General features: G+C 42.1%; 1 protein-coding gene across 7 annotated transcripts in view, besides 3 other annotated features; it reads right to left on the bottom strand.

Annotated features, from left to right (window-relative positions):
* RGS20 (regulator of G protein signaling 20) overlaps nucleotides 1-17999 on the bottom strand; it is a 107509-nt gene that overhangs the window by 52382 nt on the left and 37128 nt on the right. The gene's annotated exons all lie outside the window — the stretch shown is intronic.
* Nucleotides 3268-3317: an enhancer, noted in NCBI's record as "active region_27366". NCBI's record gives its function as "activates an Ori minimal core promoter by ATAC-STARR-seq in GM12878 lymphoblastoid cells {active_cell/tissue: GM12878}" and the evidence as "EXISTENCE:reporter gene assay evidence [ECO:0000049][PMID:35858748]".
* Nucleotides 6907-6966: an enhancer, noted in NCBI's record as "active region_27365". NCBI's record gives its function as "activates an Ori minimal core promoter by ATAC-STARR-seq in GM12878 lymphoblastoid cells {active_cell/tissue: GM12878}" and the evidence as "EXISTENCE:reporter gene assay evidence [ECO:0000049][PMID:35858748]".
* Nucleotides 6977-7036: an enhancer, noted in NCBI's record as "active region_27364". NCBI's record gives its function as "activates an Ori minimal core promoter by ATAC-STARR-seq in GM12878 lymphoblastoid cells {active_cell/tissue: GM12878}" and the evidence as "EXISTENCE:reporter gene assay evidence [ECO:0000049][PMID:35858748]".

Below are 17999 nucleotides of genomic sequence, written 5' to 3'. Positions count from 1 at the left end.
CCTCCTAACTCTCAGCTGTAAGCCTTCCCCTTGCATTGCACTGGGATGCTATGATTTTACCTTAGTCCCTCAGTTGTGCCCTATACATATCTCTCCCAGTACTTTTTTAAGCCTGTTCAAACGATTGGGTCTTTGTTGCTGTTCCACATTAAGAACAAAACTCCTTTCCTCATGAGCCTCATTCATTTCAATTTCACTGTTTTCTGAGCTCCCACTGACTGTGGTTCCCAGGTGCATGAAAAGCACTGCGATATTCCAGGAATATCCTCCTGTACTGCAGCCTCAAGAGACACTCTCATTTCCTTGTTCTCTGCAGTAATGTTTCTGAGTATTTAACACAACGTGTTTCAATTTACTCCTAATTTTACCCTCCTCTAGGTCGTCCTGCCTTCTAGGTTTCCCCTGCCTGGGAAATCTTTCTCTAATACTATTTTGCCTTGGATGGAGGATGATTTTTCACAGATACCACATTTGCCAGCACACTTAGGGGGCCACTCGATAGCAAAGTAGCAGAGGGTTGAGTGAGTTGTTTTTTTTTCTTTTTTTGAGATGGAGTCTTGCTCTGTCACCCAGGCTGGAGTGCAGGGGTGCTGTCTCGGCTCACTGCAACCTCCACCTCCCGGGTTCAAGTGATTCTCCTGCTTTAGCCTCCCAAATAGCTAGGACTGTAGGCACGTGCCACCATGCTCGGCTAATTTTTTGTATTTTTAGTAGGGACGAGGTCGTGATCCGCCCGCCTCAGCCTCCCAAAATGCTGGGATTACAAGCATGAACCACCGCGCCTGGCCTGAGTGAGTTTTTTGTAGGATCCTCTGGTCTTAAATACTTGGTCTTAAAGTTGGATGTTCACTTGTGGGTGGAGGAGGGGGACCCTGTGACCCAGGCCCCTCTCAGCCCCATGCATGCCTCTGACTTCAGACAGAACTGGAAGTCGAATGAACGGGAGGAGGAAAAGGATGGAAAAGCCATTTGGCTGGGGACAGGAGGCATAAAGTGTGTTGGGGAGAGGGACAAATCTCATTTGAAGGGCTCTAGGCTTCCAGAACCTGAAGGAAACAGTTTCTGAAGATGTTTGGCTTCAAGGAAGATGAGTTCACAGGAAGTCTTTTTTTGGCTGCTCGCTAGATTCTCATTCAAGAATTTACACAATGAAGTTAGAAAAACAGACCTGCTGAATCCATGCTAAACTCTCCCTGGGTTTAGCTGCCTACCTGAAAATAGCAACAGGGGAATGTGGCTTTCTCTGAATCACGTACTGCAAGAGTAACACCGGGTCACCAGATGCTGCTGAAGTCACAAACAGGCCCTGTTACTATTAGCAGCCGAGACGTAAGCTGAATGCTGGTCAACAGTGATGTTCTGTTTAGTAGGATGCTGAGATGAGGCGATTCTAAGTTTGAGAGGACGCTGGCCCATTATCCTGCAGTATAGTCATCACCAGACAAAAGTCCATCTCACTGTGGCTCATGAAATATTAATGAAGAGCTAGAATTACTTGCACTGACTTCAGCACAAATAGACCAAAAAATCAAATCAAAGCTCTATTTCCACTATGTTTGATACAGAAAGCCAACAGTTTAGTAGCTGGTGGATTTTTGTGGAAATTCTAAACTTTGCTTCCAGGCAAATCTATGGGTTTTCAAAAATTTCTGTCTTTTGGTTTTATTGTCTGACTATTTGGGTTTTATTGTCTATTTTAAGAAAAAGCTGGTCCATTGTTTTCTAGTAGGGGAAGTCAACTGGAAGCTTAATAGTAACAAAAGACTTTTGAATTATAATTACTTCCAGATGGATGCTTACAGATGTCCTCATCTTTTAAAAAACCACTTAAGCATCTTACCATCTGTTTTTCAGTGACTTATCATGGAAATCTTTACACTTTTGTTTATATAGCCGTTGCCAAATGTGTAAGCCCCAGGAGGTTTTAAGCCAGTGAAGGCTTTAAGACTATAATAAGAGTGTCTTTCTCTTCTCTTCTGCCATTACTAAATGAACATCCTATATAACTCAACTTTTACAATGGCCTTTTGGGAAGTATTAGAAAGAAGAGAGTATGATATGAAGGAAATAAATAAATTATGTATGTTTTTATTTGTTCTTTCCTAATGTCAGCCAACAACGAAGGACCATTTTGTAAGTACTGATTGAAATCTTTATTAAGAGCTTTGCTTATCCCAGGAAATAGTGGCATTCTCAAGAAAATTGCAGCTGGGGTGCATTCCCAGTGATAACTTGGCCCAGGGCACCTCTGAAAGTATTAAACACTTGGGAAAATCTTTGTCTGTGGGGCTGCTTTAGGGACTCTTCAAATGGCTGAGGAATATATGAGGCCATCATTAATGGTTTGCATGAGAATGGCCAGCTATTTACTGTTTCCCAGCAAGGAGCAGGCTCCCTAATGAGAATTTCTGCGTAGTTATTGCAAATTATAGAAAAAAACAGCCAAATCACTTACATCATAGAAAAATTAATGTCAAAAATCAAAGTTGTGGCCAGGTGTGGTGGCTCACGCCTGTAATCCTAGCACTTTGGGAGGCCAAGGCAGAAGGATCACTTGAGGTCAGGAGTTCGAGACCAGCCTGGCCAACATGGCGAAATCCCATCTCTACTAAAAATATAAAAATTAGCCAAGTGTGGTGGCAGGCACCTGTAATCCCAGCTACTTCAGCTACTTGGGAGGGTGAGGCAGGAGAATCACTTGAACCTGGGATGCGGAGGTTGCAGTGAGCAGAGATCACACCACTACACTCCAGCCTGGGTGACAGAGTGAGACTTGGTTAAAAAAAAAAAAAAAAGCAAAGTTATTATCTCCCCAGACAAAGCTACCCCTTCTTGTTTTTTCTCTCTTGGTAAGCAGTGTTACTATCTCTCCAGTTGTTCAAGAAAACTCATCATCCTCAACTCCTCCCAATCCTAACTCCTGGCAAAGGCAAAGGCAATCTGTCTCCCAGCATGCCTCTCACATCTGCCCTGTTCTTCTCCACGTGATATGGCCCTAGTTAACATCTCAGGTCTGGATAATGGTGGAGGTCTCCCAGCCACTCACTCTGCCTCCATTCTCACCTTGGATAAAAGGTAAAATTCTGGTAGGAGCTGTAAGAAGACCGCAAATACCCTTCTTCCCTCTATGGTCTTTCTGCTCTGCTTCTCCTTCTGAAGCAGCATCTAGTGCTGAGACTTGGTAGGGAGGGACCTGGCTTTAGGGTGAGTGTGCTTTTCTTGGGAAATACCTTTCATTGTGAAAGGTGGGGTAGGCAAGGCCAAGGGACAGAAGAACAAGTTCCCTGATGCTGCTTGGCTCAGGCTGGGAAGAAGCATGGAGAGTGCTGAGCTGTGTAAGTGACATCACCAAGGCTGCAGAGCTGGCAGAGATCCTGGGCAGAAACCAGTTTGCTCTTTGTGGCTTCCTGGGTGCCGTCTCCTGTCAGGGACCTAACTGCTGTGGAAGGTGGCTGGCTGGGGTGCAGCTATAGCCAGATTAGGATCAAAATTAATTTCAGGACTGTGTAACGAGCATTCCAGGTTAGTCAAAGTTGACAACATTTTTCTAAATTGAGATTTCTTATCCTGTAACAAATGTTGTAAGCCTCATTGTTCACTATTTTCAGAATTTTGTTTTTAATCAACAGTAAAACAGGGCAGTGCTTTTTTACTGATGGTAGAACAGTGTCTAGCATACAATAGGCACCTAAAATATTATGTGTCCAGAAAAATGTATAGTTATGTATGTACATATACATCTATCTATACAAGCACACACACGTACCATATTGATAACACAGCTGCTTAATAAATTAACCTGTCCATTTTTATTTAGAGGAAATAAAATTAACTGCCAGAGTATGAACTGATCCATCTGATCTCTCTGTCAAAAATATAAGAATCAATCATTTTGGGCTGGGCACGGGTGGCTCACACCTGTGATCCCAGCACTTTGGGAGGTCGAGGTGGGCAGATCCCCCGAGGTCAGAAGTTCGAGCCCAGCCTGGCCATCATGGCGAAATCCTGTCTCTACTAAAAATACAGAAATTAACCGAGCATGGTGGCGAGGGCCTGTAATCCCAGCTACTCGGGAAGCTGAGGCAGGAGAATTACTTGAATCCGGGAGGCAGAGGTTGCTGTGAGCCGAGATCGTGCCACTGCACTCTAGCCTGGGCGACAGAGGGAGACTCCGTCTCCAAAAAAAAAAAGAACCAATCATTTTGTTTTTACATTTAAAAGCTTATCTTTTTCTTCATTTTCACAGCAGTATCCATAACCTATTGGTCAGTGTAATGAGCCAGTGCAAATATTGCAACTATGCATAGACAGGGAATGGCATGCACATCCCCACACAAAAGAGCAGCTAAAATAATGAAGGAAATGCCAAGTGATGAGAAAGATAGAGAGGAAGGATAGAGAGCAACCAGAACTCTCCCGCACCGCTGATGGGAGTGTAAATTGGTGTAACCAGTTAGGAACACTCACAGAATGTGTTTTGGCTGACCCCATACACACCCTCTGACCCAGCCATTCCAGGCCTTGGTATATACTCCCTGAGAACGTTGCACCAAAAGTATGCATTAGGATGTTCTACACATAATAGTCAAAAACTATTCAAATGTTCATCAATAGTAGAATGGGGCTAGGCACAGTGGCTCATGCCTGTAATCCCAGCACTTTGGGAGGACACAGCGGGTGGAGTTGAGACCGGCCTGGGCAACATGGCAAAACCCTGTCTCTACAAAAAGAAGCAAAAATTAGCTGGATGTGGTGACATGCGCCTAGTCCCAGCTACTCAGGAGGCTTAGGTGGGAGAATTCCTTGGGTCCAGGAGGCAGAGGTTGTGGTGAGTCCAGGTCGCATCACTGTACTTCAGCCTGGGTGACAGAGCGAGACCCTGACTCAAAGAAAAAAAAATAAAAAGTAGAATGGATAAGTGAATGTGTTTATATAATGGGATATTATTCAGCGATGAGAATGAACAATCTCCAACTACCTCAATAAGTGGATTAATCTCACCAATGATGTTGGCAACTGCCATTCTGCATTCTATTCTATCTCTATAATGTTTTCCTTTTTTAAGGGACAGGGTCTCACTCTGTTGCCCACAGTGGAGTGCAGTGGCTATTTGGAGGCATGATCATACCACTGCAGCCTCAAACCCCTGGGTTGGAGCAATTCTCCTGCCTCAGCCTCCCAAGTAGCTCGGACTACAGGTGCGTGCCAGCTCTGTCTCCATAATTTTGACTACTCTAAGTACCTCATATAAGTGAAATCATATAGTATCTGTCCTTTTGTGTCTGGCTTATTTCCTTCAGCATAATGTCCTGAAGGTTCAACCATCTTTGTAGCATGTGTCAGAATTTAAGAGGTGCGGTTTTTCAGAGAAGGAATGTTTTAGAAGTGGCAATAGACAGCAGAGACACCTACCTTACTTCTAAGCCCTGAAGTGGCAGAATTTCTGTGGGGAAATGTCTCTAACTACCAGGGCCATAGGGAAGGCAATGTTCTCAAAGACTAGCCAGATCCCAGTGAGAGATGAAACAGAAAGAGACATTAAGAGACAAGTATAGGCTGGGCGCGGTGGTTCACGCCTGTAATCCTAACACTTTGGGAGGCCAAGGCGGGTGGATCACTTGAGGTCAGGAGCTCGAGACCAGCCTGACCAACATGGTGAAACCCCATCTCTACTAAAAATACAAAAATTAGCCGGGCGTGGTGACGGGCATCTGTAGTCCCAGCTACTCGGGAGGCTGAAGCAGGAGAATCACTTGAACTTGCAAGGCGGAGGTTGTAGTGAGCTGAGATTGATTGCGCCACTGCACTCCAGCCTGGGTGATAGAGCAAGACTCCATCTCAAAAAAAAAAAAAAAAAAAGAGACAAGTATGAAGGCCAGGGCATGTTGCTGTTGGTAGACCGAGGTCGAGAGAGTACAGTGGGATGCTGTGAGGGGTGTGGAGGAGTGTCCCATGGAGCCAGGTCAGGACGTGAACAGCCCTGCCGTGACTGGGGTCAGAGGGCCGAGTGGGAATATTGGGTTTACTTGGAGGAGTCCTCTGAGTGCTGTGCTGACCTTCTGGCCCACAGCTGGTCCCTAGAGAACACTCGCTTAAAACAGAGAACTGGGCCAGGAATGTCCAGCAGTCTGGTGCAATAGCGGGAGGAGAGCATAGGGTGTCCAGTCAGAGGAGCCCTGCCATCCTGACCTTTGCCACTTGTGAGGCCTGGACCAAATTACTTCACCTTCCTAAGCCTCCACGTCCTCATGTGTATAACATTAGCTGCCTTGAGATTTGTTAAGAGGATTAAATGAGAGAATGTATGTGAAAGGTCTCTGAAAACTAGGTGCTACTCTGGTGCCTTATTTCTTTAAATTTAGTACTTATTGATATTTTATTTTTTGTTTACATTTCTTGCTATATAAACATTGATATTTAATGTAAAAATACGATGAGTAATATAGAAAGACCTTATAGGTGTTTTAAGATTGTAAACAAGGCTGGGTACAGTGGCTCACAACTGTAATCTCAGCACTTTGGGAGGCTGAGGCAGGTGGATGGCTTAAGTCCAGGAGTTTGAGACCAGCCTGGGCAACATAGTGAGACCCCGTCTCTAAAAAAAATTTAAAAATCAGCCAGGCATGGTGGCACACACCTGTAGTTCCACCTATTCAGGAGGCTGAGGTGGGAGGATCGTTTGAGCCCAGGGGTTTAAGGCTGCAGTGAGCTATGATTGCACCACTGCATTCTAACCTAGGGGAAAAAAAGACTGTAAACAAATTGGTCCTGTACCTTTGTGTCTATATTCAGCAGGGACTGAAATAGCAGGGACCCCATTTACCCACCCTCAGACATCTGGCACCTCAACCATTCACAAATCTAGAAGTAACCCAGAATGCCTTCAAGGACACGCAAGCGGTGACAAAAATAGCTGGGCAAAGCTGAGAACAGAAAAACTAGAGGGCAGGCATGTAAATCTGCCAGTTCACCAAGCAGAGCACCTTTGCACGCAGGTCAGGGAAGCACCAGGAGGTCTGCTGAGGGCGGTGAGTGGTGAGGGGTCTAGCTGGATCCTCACTCTTCCCCTGCTGGGCTTTGTGACTAGAGCCTGAAGCCACCTCCCTAGGCCTTGGTTTTGTCTTCTGAACTGGAGGCAAAATGACCACCAAGTTTTTCTTCTCTTTCTGACATGCCATGGTTACCTACCACTACATGGCTGAACTGTGCAAACAGGATGCTGAGTGAGAGAAGCCAGCTAGAAAAGGCCACGTATCATATGAACCCATCTATATAAAATGTTCGGAACAGGCAAATCTGTGGAAACAGAAAGTAGCTCAGTGGCTGCCTGGGGCTGCTGGAGGAAGGGACTTGGTGGTTGACGGCTAAGGGGTGCTGGGTCTCTTCTTGGAGTGATGAAAATATTCTAAAATGAATTGCAGTGATGGTTACACATCTCTATGAATGGATGTCATAAAACAGTTTTTAAATGCTGGTATTTTAATTTACCTTAAAGGCAGCATAGTGGATTGAGTACCAAAAAGTACAGAAATGCAGGTTGTGAGTTCTGTTCTGTCACTAACTTGTTCGCCTGACATAAGTCAGCTGCCTGCTCTGGGCTGCTGTTGGCTAAGTCGTTCCCCTTTCTGTTCCATAAAGTCATGATTCTGTGACTTAAACCTGAGACACCTGAGAAAAGGAAGGAAAAAATACCCAATAAAGAGAATAGAGAGACAAAAGGCAGTGGACATAGCACATGTAGCATGCTGGTGACAAACATGGCACACAGGCATTGTGGTGCCAGGAGGACAGACACAGGAGCATCGCACAGCATTGTAGTTAGTGTGGGGGCCAGCTGCCTGACTTCTGAAGGAAATGCTGTTAACACATCACAGCTGGGAACATAAAGTTCCTAACAGCAGAAATTTTAATATGTATTTGAACAATAATGTGCCATGAAAATAGTTTCCCTGACCATCATGCTACAGTGTGAAATGCAAATGAACATGCCAGTCACGTTACATAGCATTTCAGTGTTTTCTTTCATAGGCATACGTCAGTACAAAGATCAGAAATGCAAACTCTTTCCTTGGTTAAAAGCACCTGCAGTGCTCCTTGGCCTAGAGAATTATTGTATTTATAGTCTTTTCAACATTCACCAGGTGGAAAAGTGGGTTCCCACAGTGCATCTGGAAAAACAGAAATGCATCTGGCTTAACTAATTACAGTTCAGCTTTTATTTAATAGAGAAAACAATAAATATGTGCAATTAATGCCACATAAGCCCTTACTGTATTCAATCTCATACATATTTCATTTCTATCTCTGGTTTTGAAATCTAAGTAATCTAGAGCCCACAGGATATCATGTGTTATGCATGCTTCAATATAACCCTAAAAAATGTGAATTGACATTTGATATGAATTTAAATCCTCCACAAATCCACACTTCTGTTAAAGTGCCACAAGGTTATTATATGGAAGTAATGGTGAAGGCAATGGAGCATTAGGAGGAGGCCAGTTTCTTCTTTGGTTCTGATGTGGTGGAAGGAACACAGCCTCCCAAAAGAAAAAGGGTAACACTCCTTCTGTGCTCCCTAATGGCCACACCTACTTCTAGGTACACTCTGAGTACCCTCAATACCAGGACAGTGGTCTGGGTAACATCTGGTATCCTCTGAAGGTGATGCATTTTCCTCACCTGGAACATTCTCCAAATTAACAGTGCAGAAGGGAAACACAACCTCATCATCATCATCATCATCACCACCACTCCTCAAGTCAGGCAGGGAATTATAGCCAGGGGGAGGCAGAGCAGCAGCTCCTGGTGGTGCAAGGCGAGCGGGTGGGATCCAGCCCCACAGCCATCAAGGAGGCATTCCAGCCCTGCTGAGGAACAGAGCTCCCAAAGTATGGCCCGGAGTGGACACTCAAGCTCTTTCAGCAAGCAGAAGGCAGCTGTAGTAAGAGTAGCACCTGTTGCCTTTGCAGTGTGTGCCCCACATGCCTTGGACCTATCAGCCGCTCTGTATAATTTGGACTGACCTACCAAGCTTTTAGAAATAATGTCCTTTCCATAACTAAAAGCGAGCCAATTTTGCAGACATTGTGTCCCTCTGATGTGATGCAACAGGAATTTATTTGAGCCTTTGAGTCTAACCTCTAGTTTGCAGAAATTTAGGGAATACAGGAACAAGTTAGCAACTTGAGAAAGCAGCAAATGAATTCAATGTGGGACAATCGACGGGGCAGCAGGTCCAATTTCTTCAAGTTGGCGTATGAAAAAGAAGATGGATGATGAGGAAGATTAGTAAAGAGGCTAATAAGAAAGAATGTACTATGGTTACACATTAGATGATGTGAATTGCTTACTGTTAATTTTGTTGGGTATGACAAATGTATTGTGGTTACTATATGGATATTATAAAGTATGCTTAGTAAAAGATAAGTTCCTTAAAAGTAACATTCATTTTTATTTGAACTGTCTTTAATGAATAACATTTCTACTGATGCTTCCTACCATTGCCCCTAAATTATTAGCTGGAACTAAGGAAACTCTTATGGACAGGGCATCCAAGTTTGACCACAAGTGAGAGCAGGGCCTTACCCAGTGCTGCAGGAATCCACCTCTAGTCTGGTCCAGTCTGCCAGGGCAGCCCTAGCCCAGTCTGCTTGTGCTGGGCACAAATCTTAACAGACATTAGGCCTGGATGAATATTTGCTGAAGAAGTTCCTCTCCATCAATTACAGCAGATGGGTTATGGAATGTGTCAACGTACATGCAAATTAAGGATAAAAATGTACAAAAGATGTGTTTATAAGTGACTAACTAGCTTTCTCTACTTCTTACAGGAATGTCTGGGCAAATTTTCCCTCTACATTTCTTTTTTCACAAATTCCACTTTTGCCCATAGAAAATTCTCTATGATCCCCCGTGGACAGTAGCATTGGCTCCTCAAACTTTGTCTTTTGTCCATTATTAGAATTTTTTATCCTGGGATGATTCTTCTATGATAATGGTATGAAATAGCAAGCTCCTATTCTATTTAAAGCTTTCAAGCTGTAAGTAATTTGAAATCTCTGAAAGCCATCTGAGCTCTCTCAGCCACAAAACCTTTGTGCATATTATTTCCCTGTGGTCCTTCTTCATTAGTCCTTTTGGGGCTTGTTAATTGCTACTAAGTTTTCCTGTTAATATGAAAATGCTGAATGTTGAAATAGTGCATACCCAAAGGAATCTTAAGTTGGGTCCTTTGATTTTATTTCCTATAGGAGATTGCCTTTAATTGGTTTTCTGGTCTGTCTTTTGAAATTTTTTTAAAGAGTAGACTATTCTATAAGAATTAAAACTGTCATTGCTTGAACTTCGTATTTACTTTCATACAGATTGTTTCCTACAAAAACTTAGTAATACCCCACACTTATATTTATGCTATAGTCCAGAGGTAGACAAATGTTTTCAGTGAGGGACCAGAGCATACATATTGCACACTTTGCAGGCCTCCTGGTCTGTCTGCAACTACTCAATTCTGCCTCTATATCACAAAGGCAGCTCAAACATCAAACAAATGAGCATGGCTGTGCTCCAATAAATCTTTATGAATGCTGAAATCTGAATTCTGTAAAATTTTCATGTGTCACAAAATATTCTTCTTTTTTTGGGGGGGACAGCATCTCACTCTGTCACACAGGTTGGAGTGCAGTGGTGCAATCCATGGCCCACTGCAGCCTCAACCTCCTGGGCTCAAGTGATCCTCCTGCATCAGCCTCCTGAGTAGCAGGGACTAAGGCTCATGCCACCACACTTGGCTAATTTTTTACTTTTTGCAGAGGCAGGGTCTTGCTTTGTTGCCCAGGCTGGTTTCAAACTCCCAACCTCAAGAGATTCTCTCGCTTTGGCCTCCCAAAGTGCTGGGATTACAGGCATGAGCCATCATGTCTGGCCTTATTCTTCTCACTTTTTCTCCCAACAATTAAAAAATGTAAAAACCATTCTTGGCTGGGCGTGGTGGCTCATGCCTGTAAACCCAGCACTTTGGGAGGCCGAGGCGGGCAGATCATTTGAGGTCAGGAGTTTGAAACAACTCTGACCAACATGGTGAAACCCTATTTCTACTAAAAATACAAGGAAATTAGCCAGGCATGGTTCCGGGTGCCTGTAGTCCCAGCTACTCAAGAGGCTAAGGCAAGAGAACTGCTTGAACCTGGGAGGCAGAGGTTGCAGTGAGCCGAGATCCCGCCACTGCACTCCAGCCTGGGCAACAGAACAAGACCCTGTCTCAAAAAAAAAAAAAAGGAATAAAAAGAAAAACTATTATTAGTGTTCAGGGCATACAAAAGCAGGCAGAGGGCTGGAGGTGGCCCTGTGCCTTGTTTGCTGACCCCTGTCATAAACAGAAATTCTTCATAGACTGTTTATGGATAATTGAGAAAAGGAAGCGCAGATTCTAAAGTAGTAAGATCCTACTGATTATTTTCAAGGCTTCCCACCATAACTTCATGATCATTTAGCGTACCACAGTACAGCAGGCTGCACATCATCAGAGCCTAACGAATCCACATTTCTGCCTCTAGCCCAGGCCATTCCCTGGGTGCCATACACACAGATCCAACCAGCTGCCTGGCACCACAGTTGGAGCTCTCCTGGACATCTCTAGGGTCTAACATGGAATCTTGCATCTCCTCCTCCAGCCCCTCTGTTTCACCTCCTGTCTTCTCCATGGCCACACATGTTGCCACCATCCACCTACATCAAGAAGTCACCTTGATTCCTCATGCATCACTCATTAGCAAGCTCACTGCATCTCCAGGACTCACGCCAGGCCTGCACTGCATCCCCGCTACTTCTCCTAGGCTGGCGGCCCCATCTCTTGTCTCGATGGCTACGATAAGTCCCATATCCACCTCCTTCCCTCTCCCCGCACAGCTTTCTGCTACAGTAGCAGAGGTGAGTAATTGCAATGACCCACAAGCCTAAAATATTTACTAACTCTTTTAAAATAGAATCCAGATCCTGTTAGTCCCCTCCTGTGGGCTTCAATGGCAAATCCTGACACTAGAAAAAATCCAAACTCTATCAGGGTCTAAATATTGCACAATTTTCCCCTATGTTTACATGAGCAAATGTATCACATCTTACATTTAATATGTGAAATGATTTTGTGGAGATTTTGAGATCCCATTTATTAATAGGGAAAACTCAGCTTCAGGGAGGTTGCCTAATGTGCCTGACATTCAGTCAGCCCCAAACAGACTTGAATCTAGATCATGTGGTTCAAGGCATGGATGCATCTGTCACCCCACAGAACTGTGCCCCTCATACCACAGCTGCACATGGGCCACATTCGATGGATTTGGATTATTTGTGTAGGCCCATCAGTGAAGTCTTCTGGAGTCCTTTTCCCAGAAGGTCTGCTGTTGATTCGAGTGGGCTAATAGAAACTCCAGGGCATTACGTTGTCCCACAGGGCCTTAGCATTCCCAAGACAGTTCTCTGGGCTAAGCTGACAGAATGTTTTTGTCTGCAGTTCCTAGGATGTGCATGGGAGAATCTCTGCTCCTCGAGGTTTTAGTTTTCTACAGTTTGCACCAAAATATCTACTGAATTTTAGATCTCCCTCCCCCTTGGTGTGAAGTGTCAAATAGTAGATATGTTGAACAAACAGATCTAAAATTGAAGAAATTTCAGACTTGAAATGTTCAGTGGTTATGCGCTTTGGACTCTTCGCAGGGAACCATAGCATTTATAACCTTTCAGTAAGACAAAACAAGGCAGTTGGACACAGAGACCCAGGACAAAAACCTCCATACTAACGTATTGGGTAAAATGGCACATAGGGGACCTGTTTCAATTAAGAAAATATAAGCTATATGTAGCCTCCTAATTATCAGACCAGACTTGATAGATTTTAACAAATGTTTTATCTACCTAAGTTAGTATTTATACTTTTCATAAATGCCTTTATGATTTTGAACACAGATCACTAGAAGATAAAGAAAAGAAATAAAGCCTTTTGTTTAGTTTATGACATTTGTTTAACATGCTCGGGTGAGTTTTTCGCTTTACTAGATTTTGCATAATTTTATCCTTTTTATACTTCTTAGTACTCTTTCATCCTTTAAGCCAAATTTATTCTATGTGGTCTGGTTATGATGTTCTGGTGTTTTTGTTAATAAGTATTTCATTTTGCCAAAAGAACAGCACTGCCTAACCAGTCACTCAAGGGGCCGAAGGCAACTTATGTGTTTGGCAAAAACTTAGCTCTAGTGAGAATTTGATAAATTTCAGGTTGTTGCATAACTAGATCCCCTCACTCTTATGCTTTGACTTAAATCTGCCCACAAATGGTAAGGAGAGCAGTCCTCAGAATACGGAGGTCAGAGAGCAAAGCCGGCTGTCACTGAAGCTGGCTGTCATCAAAGTAAGGAACTAAAGGCTGAGATAATAAGAGTGAGATGACAGGTGAGACTGAGATAAGTCCAAGGCCTTGGGGACACACACATCAGTGCTGTCCTCCTGGCCCAGGTCAGGAGAGTCCTGCTACTCCGCCTCCAGGTTTACTATTTTCATCTCAGCTTTAGAGTAGAATCTAACTATTTCTATATATTAATATAGTATTTTTTTTTCAAGAAGCAAATGCCATAGTCAAAATAAAAGAGCAACTTGGCAACAGGAAATCTAATATGAAAATTAATTATATTTAAATCATTCATGGAGATAATGTTAAAATTACAGTCTCCACATAGACTTTCCTCTGCAAAGGTCAACCAGCTATTCTTTCCAGAAAATACTGTTAGCCTTTTCTTAATATTTTTTAATATTGTTTTCTTATTGCCAATATCTTATTATAAGCCCTACTTGATATAACACGAAGTAGTTAAATGTGGATTTTACTGAGAGTGACTATTCTGAATGCAATTCTTTCTGCAACTAAATTTTATCTAAATTCTTCAGTTTCAGGAGGTCATTTTTTGGGGGTCTACAAGTGACAAAGATTAGGCCAAATATGAATTCATAAACTTATTAGTAATATTTTTCCTGGATATTAAGTCATGGTACAGGTCTTTTATATTAAGTTTTTTTAAAAGAACATTGTTCAAATGGTGAAAATTTTAGAAACTGTACCAAATAGAAATATATCAAAATATAAATGTTTAAAATCAAATTATACATGGTCAGGGGCTTAAAATAATGATAAATATTAGGAGAATATTGGCAAGAGGTACCACTTACTGATACTCTCTTGAACCCTCTGCTGTACATGTATTACGTTAAAGCAAGTATTCTTATCACTGCTATACACATTCAAATTCAGAGGCTCACAAAACTAATGATCAAAGTCAAAGTTTGAGCCTAGTTCTCTTTCATTCCAATACTCATGCTTTTTACATTACATAACTGCAATCTGAAGCATAAAGAGTTGCATGATTTATAGTCCTTTGGGTATATACCCAATAATGGGATGGCTGGGTCAAATGGTATTTCTAGTTCTAGATCCCTGAGGAATCGCCACACTGACTTCCACAATGGTTGAACTAGTTTACAGTCCCACCAACAGTGTAATCATGCTGCTATAAAGACACATGCACATGTATGTTTATTGCGGCACTATTCACAATAGCAAAGACTTGGAACCAACCCAAATGTCCAACAATGATAGACTGGATTAAGAAAATGTGGCACATATACACCATGGAATACTATGCAGCCATAAAAAATGATGAGTTCGTGTCCTTTGTAGGGACATGGATGAAACTGGAAATCATCATTCTCAGTAAACTATCACAAGGACAAAAAACCAAACACCGCATGTTCTCACTCATAGGTGGGAACTGAACAATGAGAACACATGGACACAGGAAGGGGAACATCACACTCCGGGGACTGTTGTGGGGTGTGGGGAGAGGGGAGGGATAGCATTAGGAGATATACCTAATGCTAAATGACGAGTTAATGGGTGCAGCACACCAGCATGGCACATGTATACATATGTAACTAACCTGCACATTGTGCACATGTACCCTAAAACTTAAAGTGTAATAATAATAATAATTTAAAAAAAAATCTGGGCCTAGGCTGCCTAGATGAAGGGACTGACCAAAAAAAAAAAGTTGCAAAAATTATAACATACTTCTTTTCTTTCCAGTGTTTTCAAACTGACAAAACATGTATTACATTTTACACTCACAAATGGCAAATTTTTAAATACACATTTTCTGAATTACATTGGAAACAAATGATATAAAAGAAAGATAACAATGTAATACACAGAAAATTAATTCAAGAAAAATGTCAATAGGTCAAGGCAGATCACTTTTTTTTTTAGACAGAATCCTGCTCTGTCACCCAGGCTAGAGTGCACTGGCATGATCTTGGCTCACTGCAATCTCTGCCTCCCGGGTTCAAGCGATTCTCCTGCCTCAGCCTCCTGAGTAGCTGGGACTACAGGCACACGCCACCACACCTGGCTAATTTTTTTGCATTTTTAGTAGAGATGAGGTTTTGCTATGTTGGCCAGGCTGGTCTCGAAATCCTGACCTCAAGTGATCCACCCACCTTGGCCTCCCAAAGTGCTGGGATTAAAGGCATGAGCCACTGCGCCTGGCCCAAATCACTATTCTTATGCAACAACTAAAAAACTCAGATAAATAAGTGAAATTACATTTCTAAAGTCATCAGAGAACTGTGAAAGCAAAAATATTATATAAACTAAAATTTCTGAGTAAGAGAGTTCTTCCAAGCTGAGCTGTCTGTCACTAGCTGTTTTTTTCCTGAGGGCTTTTGCTGACCGTTAGCACAAGCTGTGGACATAAAGGGACTCTTTTCTCATGTGGCAGAACAAGTCCCCTTCAGTAACAAGGACTTCCTCAAACACATGGCTGGGTCCTACAAGACATTTATCAAATGTGGCGGCCATATGGGGAAGGTGGAGGCAAAGAACAAACTTAAAACCTCTGAAGGCAAGACTGAGTCTTCCATTCTTTTGAGACCAAGGAGATAGAAGTCCATCAGGCTTTCATTCTGGAATCCAAGAGAAAATTCCCAAGGAACAAGAAAGAACTGGGCATTAGCTAAATCTTATTAAAACTGCAGCCACCAGTCTGGGTAACATAGCGAGACCCCATCTCTACAAAACATTTGTAAAAAATGGTCAGGTGAATTGGCAAGTGCCTGTAATCCCAGCTACTCAGGAGGTTGAAGTGGGAGGACTGCTTGAGCCCAGGAATTCTAGGTTATAATGGTGCCAATGTACTCCATTCTAGGGGTGACAGAGGGAGATTCCATGTCAAAACAAAAAAACCCCCAAAACTGTTACCAGATCTGACCCATTCTAATACCTGCTGGCCTGAAGTGATCAGCCCTTCAGTCCTTCATCCTTAGACAGGAAATCCCTCCAAGGGAGATTCAATCCTTGCTGGTGGAAGAAATTACCAGAACCTACACAGTTTCTTTATATACAATGTCTACATATAATAAAAATTACTAGATATGTGAAGAGAGATAAAAATGTGATGAATAAAAAAATGGATACAGGCACACAGATGATCTCATTGGATTTAGTAGATAAGAATTAGATGGACTAAACTGATGAAAAGATGGGAAATTTCATCAGATAATTTAAATGTATTAAAATGAATCAAATTGGCATACTACATTTAGAAGAAAACAAGTTCTGAAATTAATAACTCACTAGATGATTTGACAGAAGACTCAGGCACAGAGGAAGACAGCTTAATTAACTAAAACACAGGTCAACAGAAAATATTCAAATTGAAGCAGAAAGATATGCGAAATGAACAAAACAGATCAGACAATAAGAGACATGAAGGAAAAAGGCCAACATATCTGTGATTTGGGTCCCAGAAGCAGGAGAGAAAGAAAGAAAACCAGACAAAGCCATATTTGAAGAGATATTGAGTGAAAATTTTCCAAAGTTGATGAAAGACGTCAATCCACAGATAAAAGAAGCTCAGTTAACCCAAAGGAGAATAAATAAAATGAAAACCACATATAGGCACATTATATTCACTGTGGTAAGTCAAAAATGAGAGAAAAACTTTATGAGGATAACAACAGGCTACCTTCAAAGAAGCATAACTTTCCAACAGAAACTAGGAAAGTCAAAAGATAATGGAATGAGAGTGTAAAGGCAGGCCAGACTGGAAGAAGAGATTTGCAGCACGTGCACACACACACACACACACACACACACACACACAGAATTTTGACAGATGGCTTGTATCCAGAATATATAAAGAACTGTGACAGATCAATAATAACAATAATAAAAGATCAGCGGCACAATAGAAAAATGGGCCAAACAGAAGTTCAAGACCAGCCTGGGCAACATGGTGAAACCCCATCTCTACCCCTTCCCAATATCCAAAATAAAAAAATTAGTTGAGTGTGGTGGTGGACACCTATAGTCTCAGCTTCACGGCTAATTGTGCCACTGCCTTCCAGCCTGGGCAACAGAGTGAGACCCTGTCTCAAAAAAAAAAAAAAAAAAAAAAAAAAAAAAAAAAAAAAAGAGAGAGAGAGAGAAAGAAAGAAAGAAAAAGAAAAATGGGCCAAAGGCTTGTAGAGGCATTTTAAATAGAAAATATACAAATGACTTGACCCAAAAACATATAAGAAGATGCTTAACATCATTAGTAGCCAGGGAAATACAAATTAAAACCATAATGAGATACCACTACACAGCCACCAGAATGACTAAAGTTAAATGGGCAAACAATACTAAGTACTGGTGAGGATGTGAAGCAATACACACTTTGCTGGTGGGGATGGATGTAAACTGATTTGGACTATGAAACAGTTTTGCAGTATCTACTAAAGCTAAACATACACTGGACTTATTACCCAACAATTTTTATCCTGGGCATATACCCAAAGGAAATAAGTTCATCAAAAGACATGAATGAGAATGTTCATATTAGCATTATTCATAATAGCTCCACACTGGAAACAACTAAAATTTCTTCAGTAGTGGAATGGAATACACTGTGGTGTATTCACAC

The sequence above is a fragment of the Homo sapiens genome, chromosome 8 (genome assembly GCF_000001405.40).
Source record: "Homo sapiens chromosome 8, GRCh38.p14 Primary Assembly".
In the NCBI taxonomy this organism is placed as follows: Eukaryota; Metazoa; Chordata; class Mammalia; order Primates; family Hominidae; genus Homo; species Homo sapiens.
This window is presented reverse-complemented; position numbering and strand designations above follow the sequence as displayed.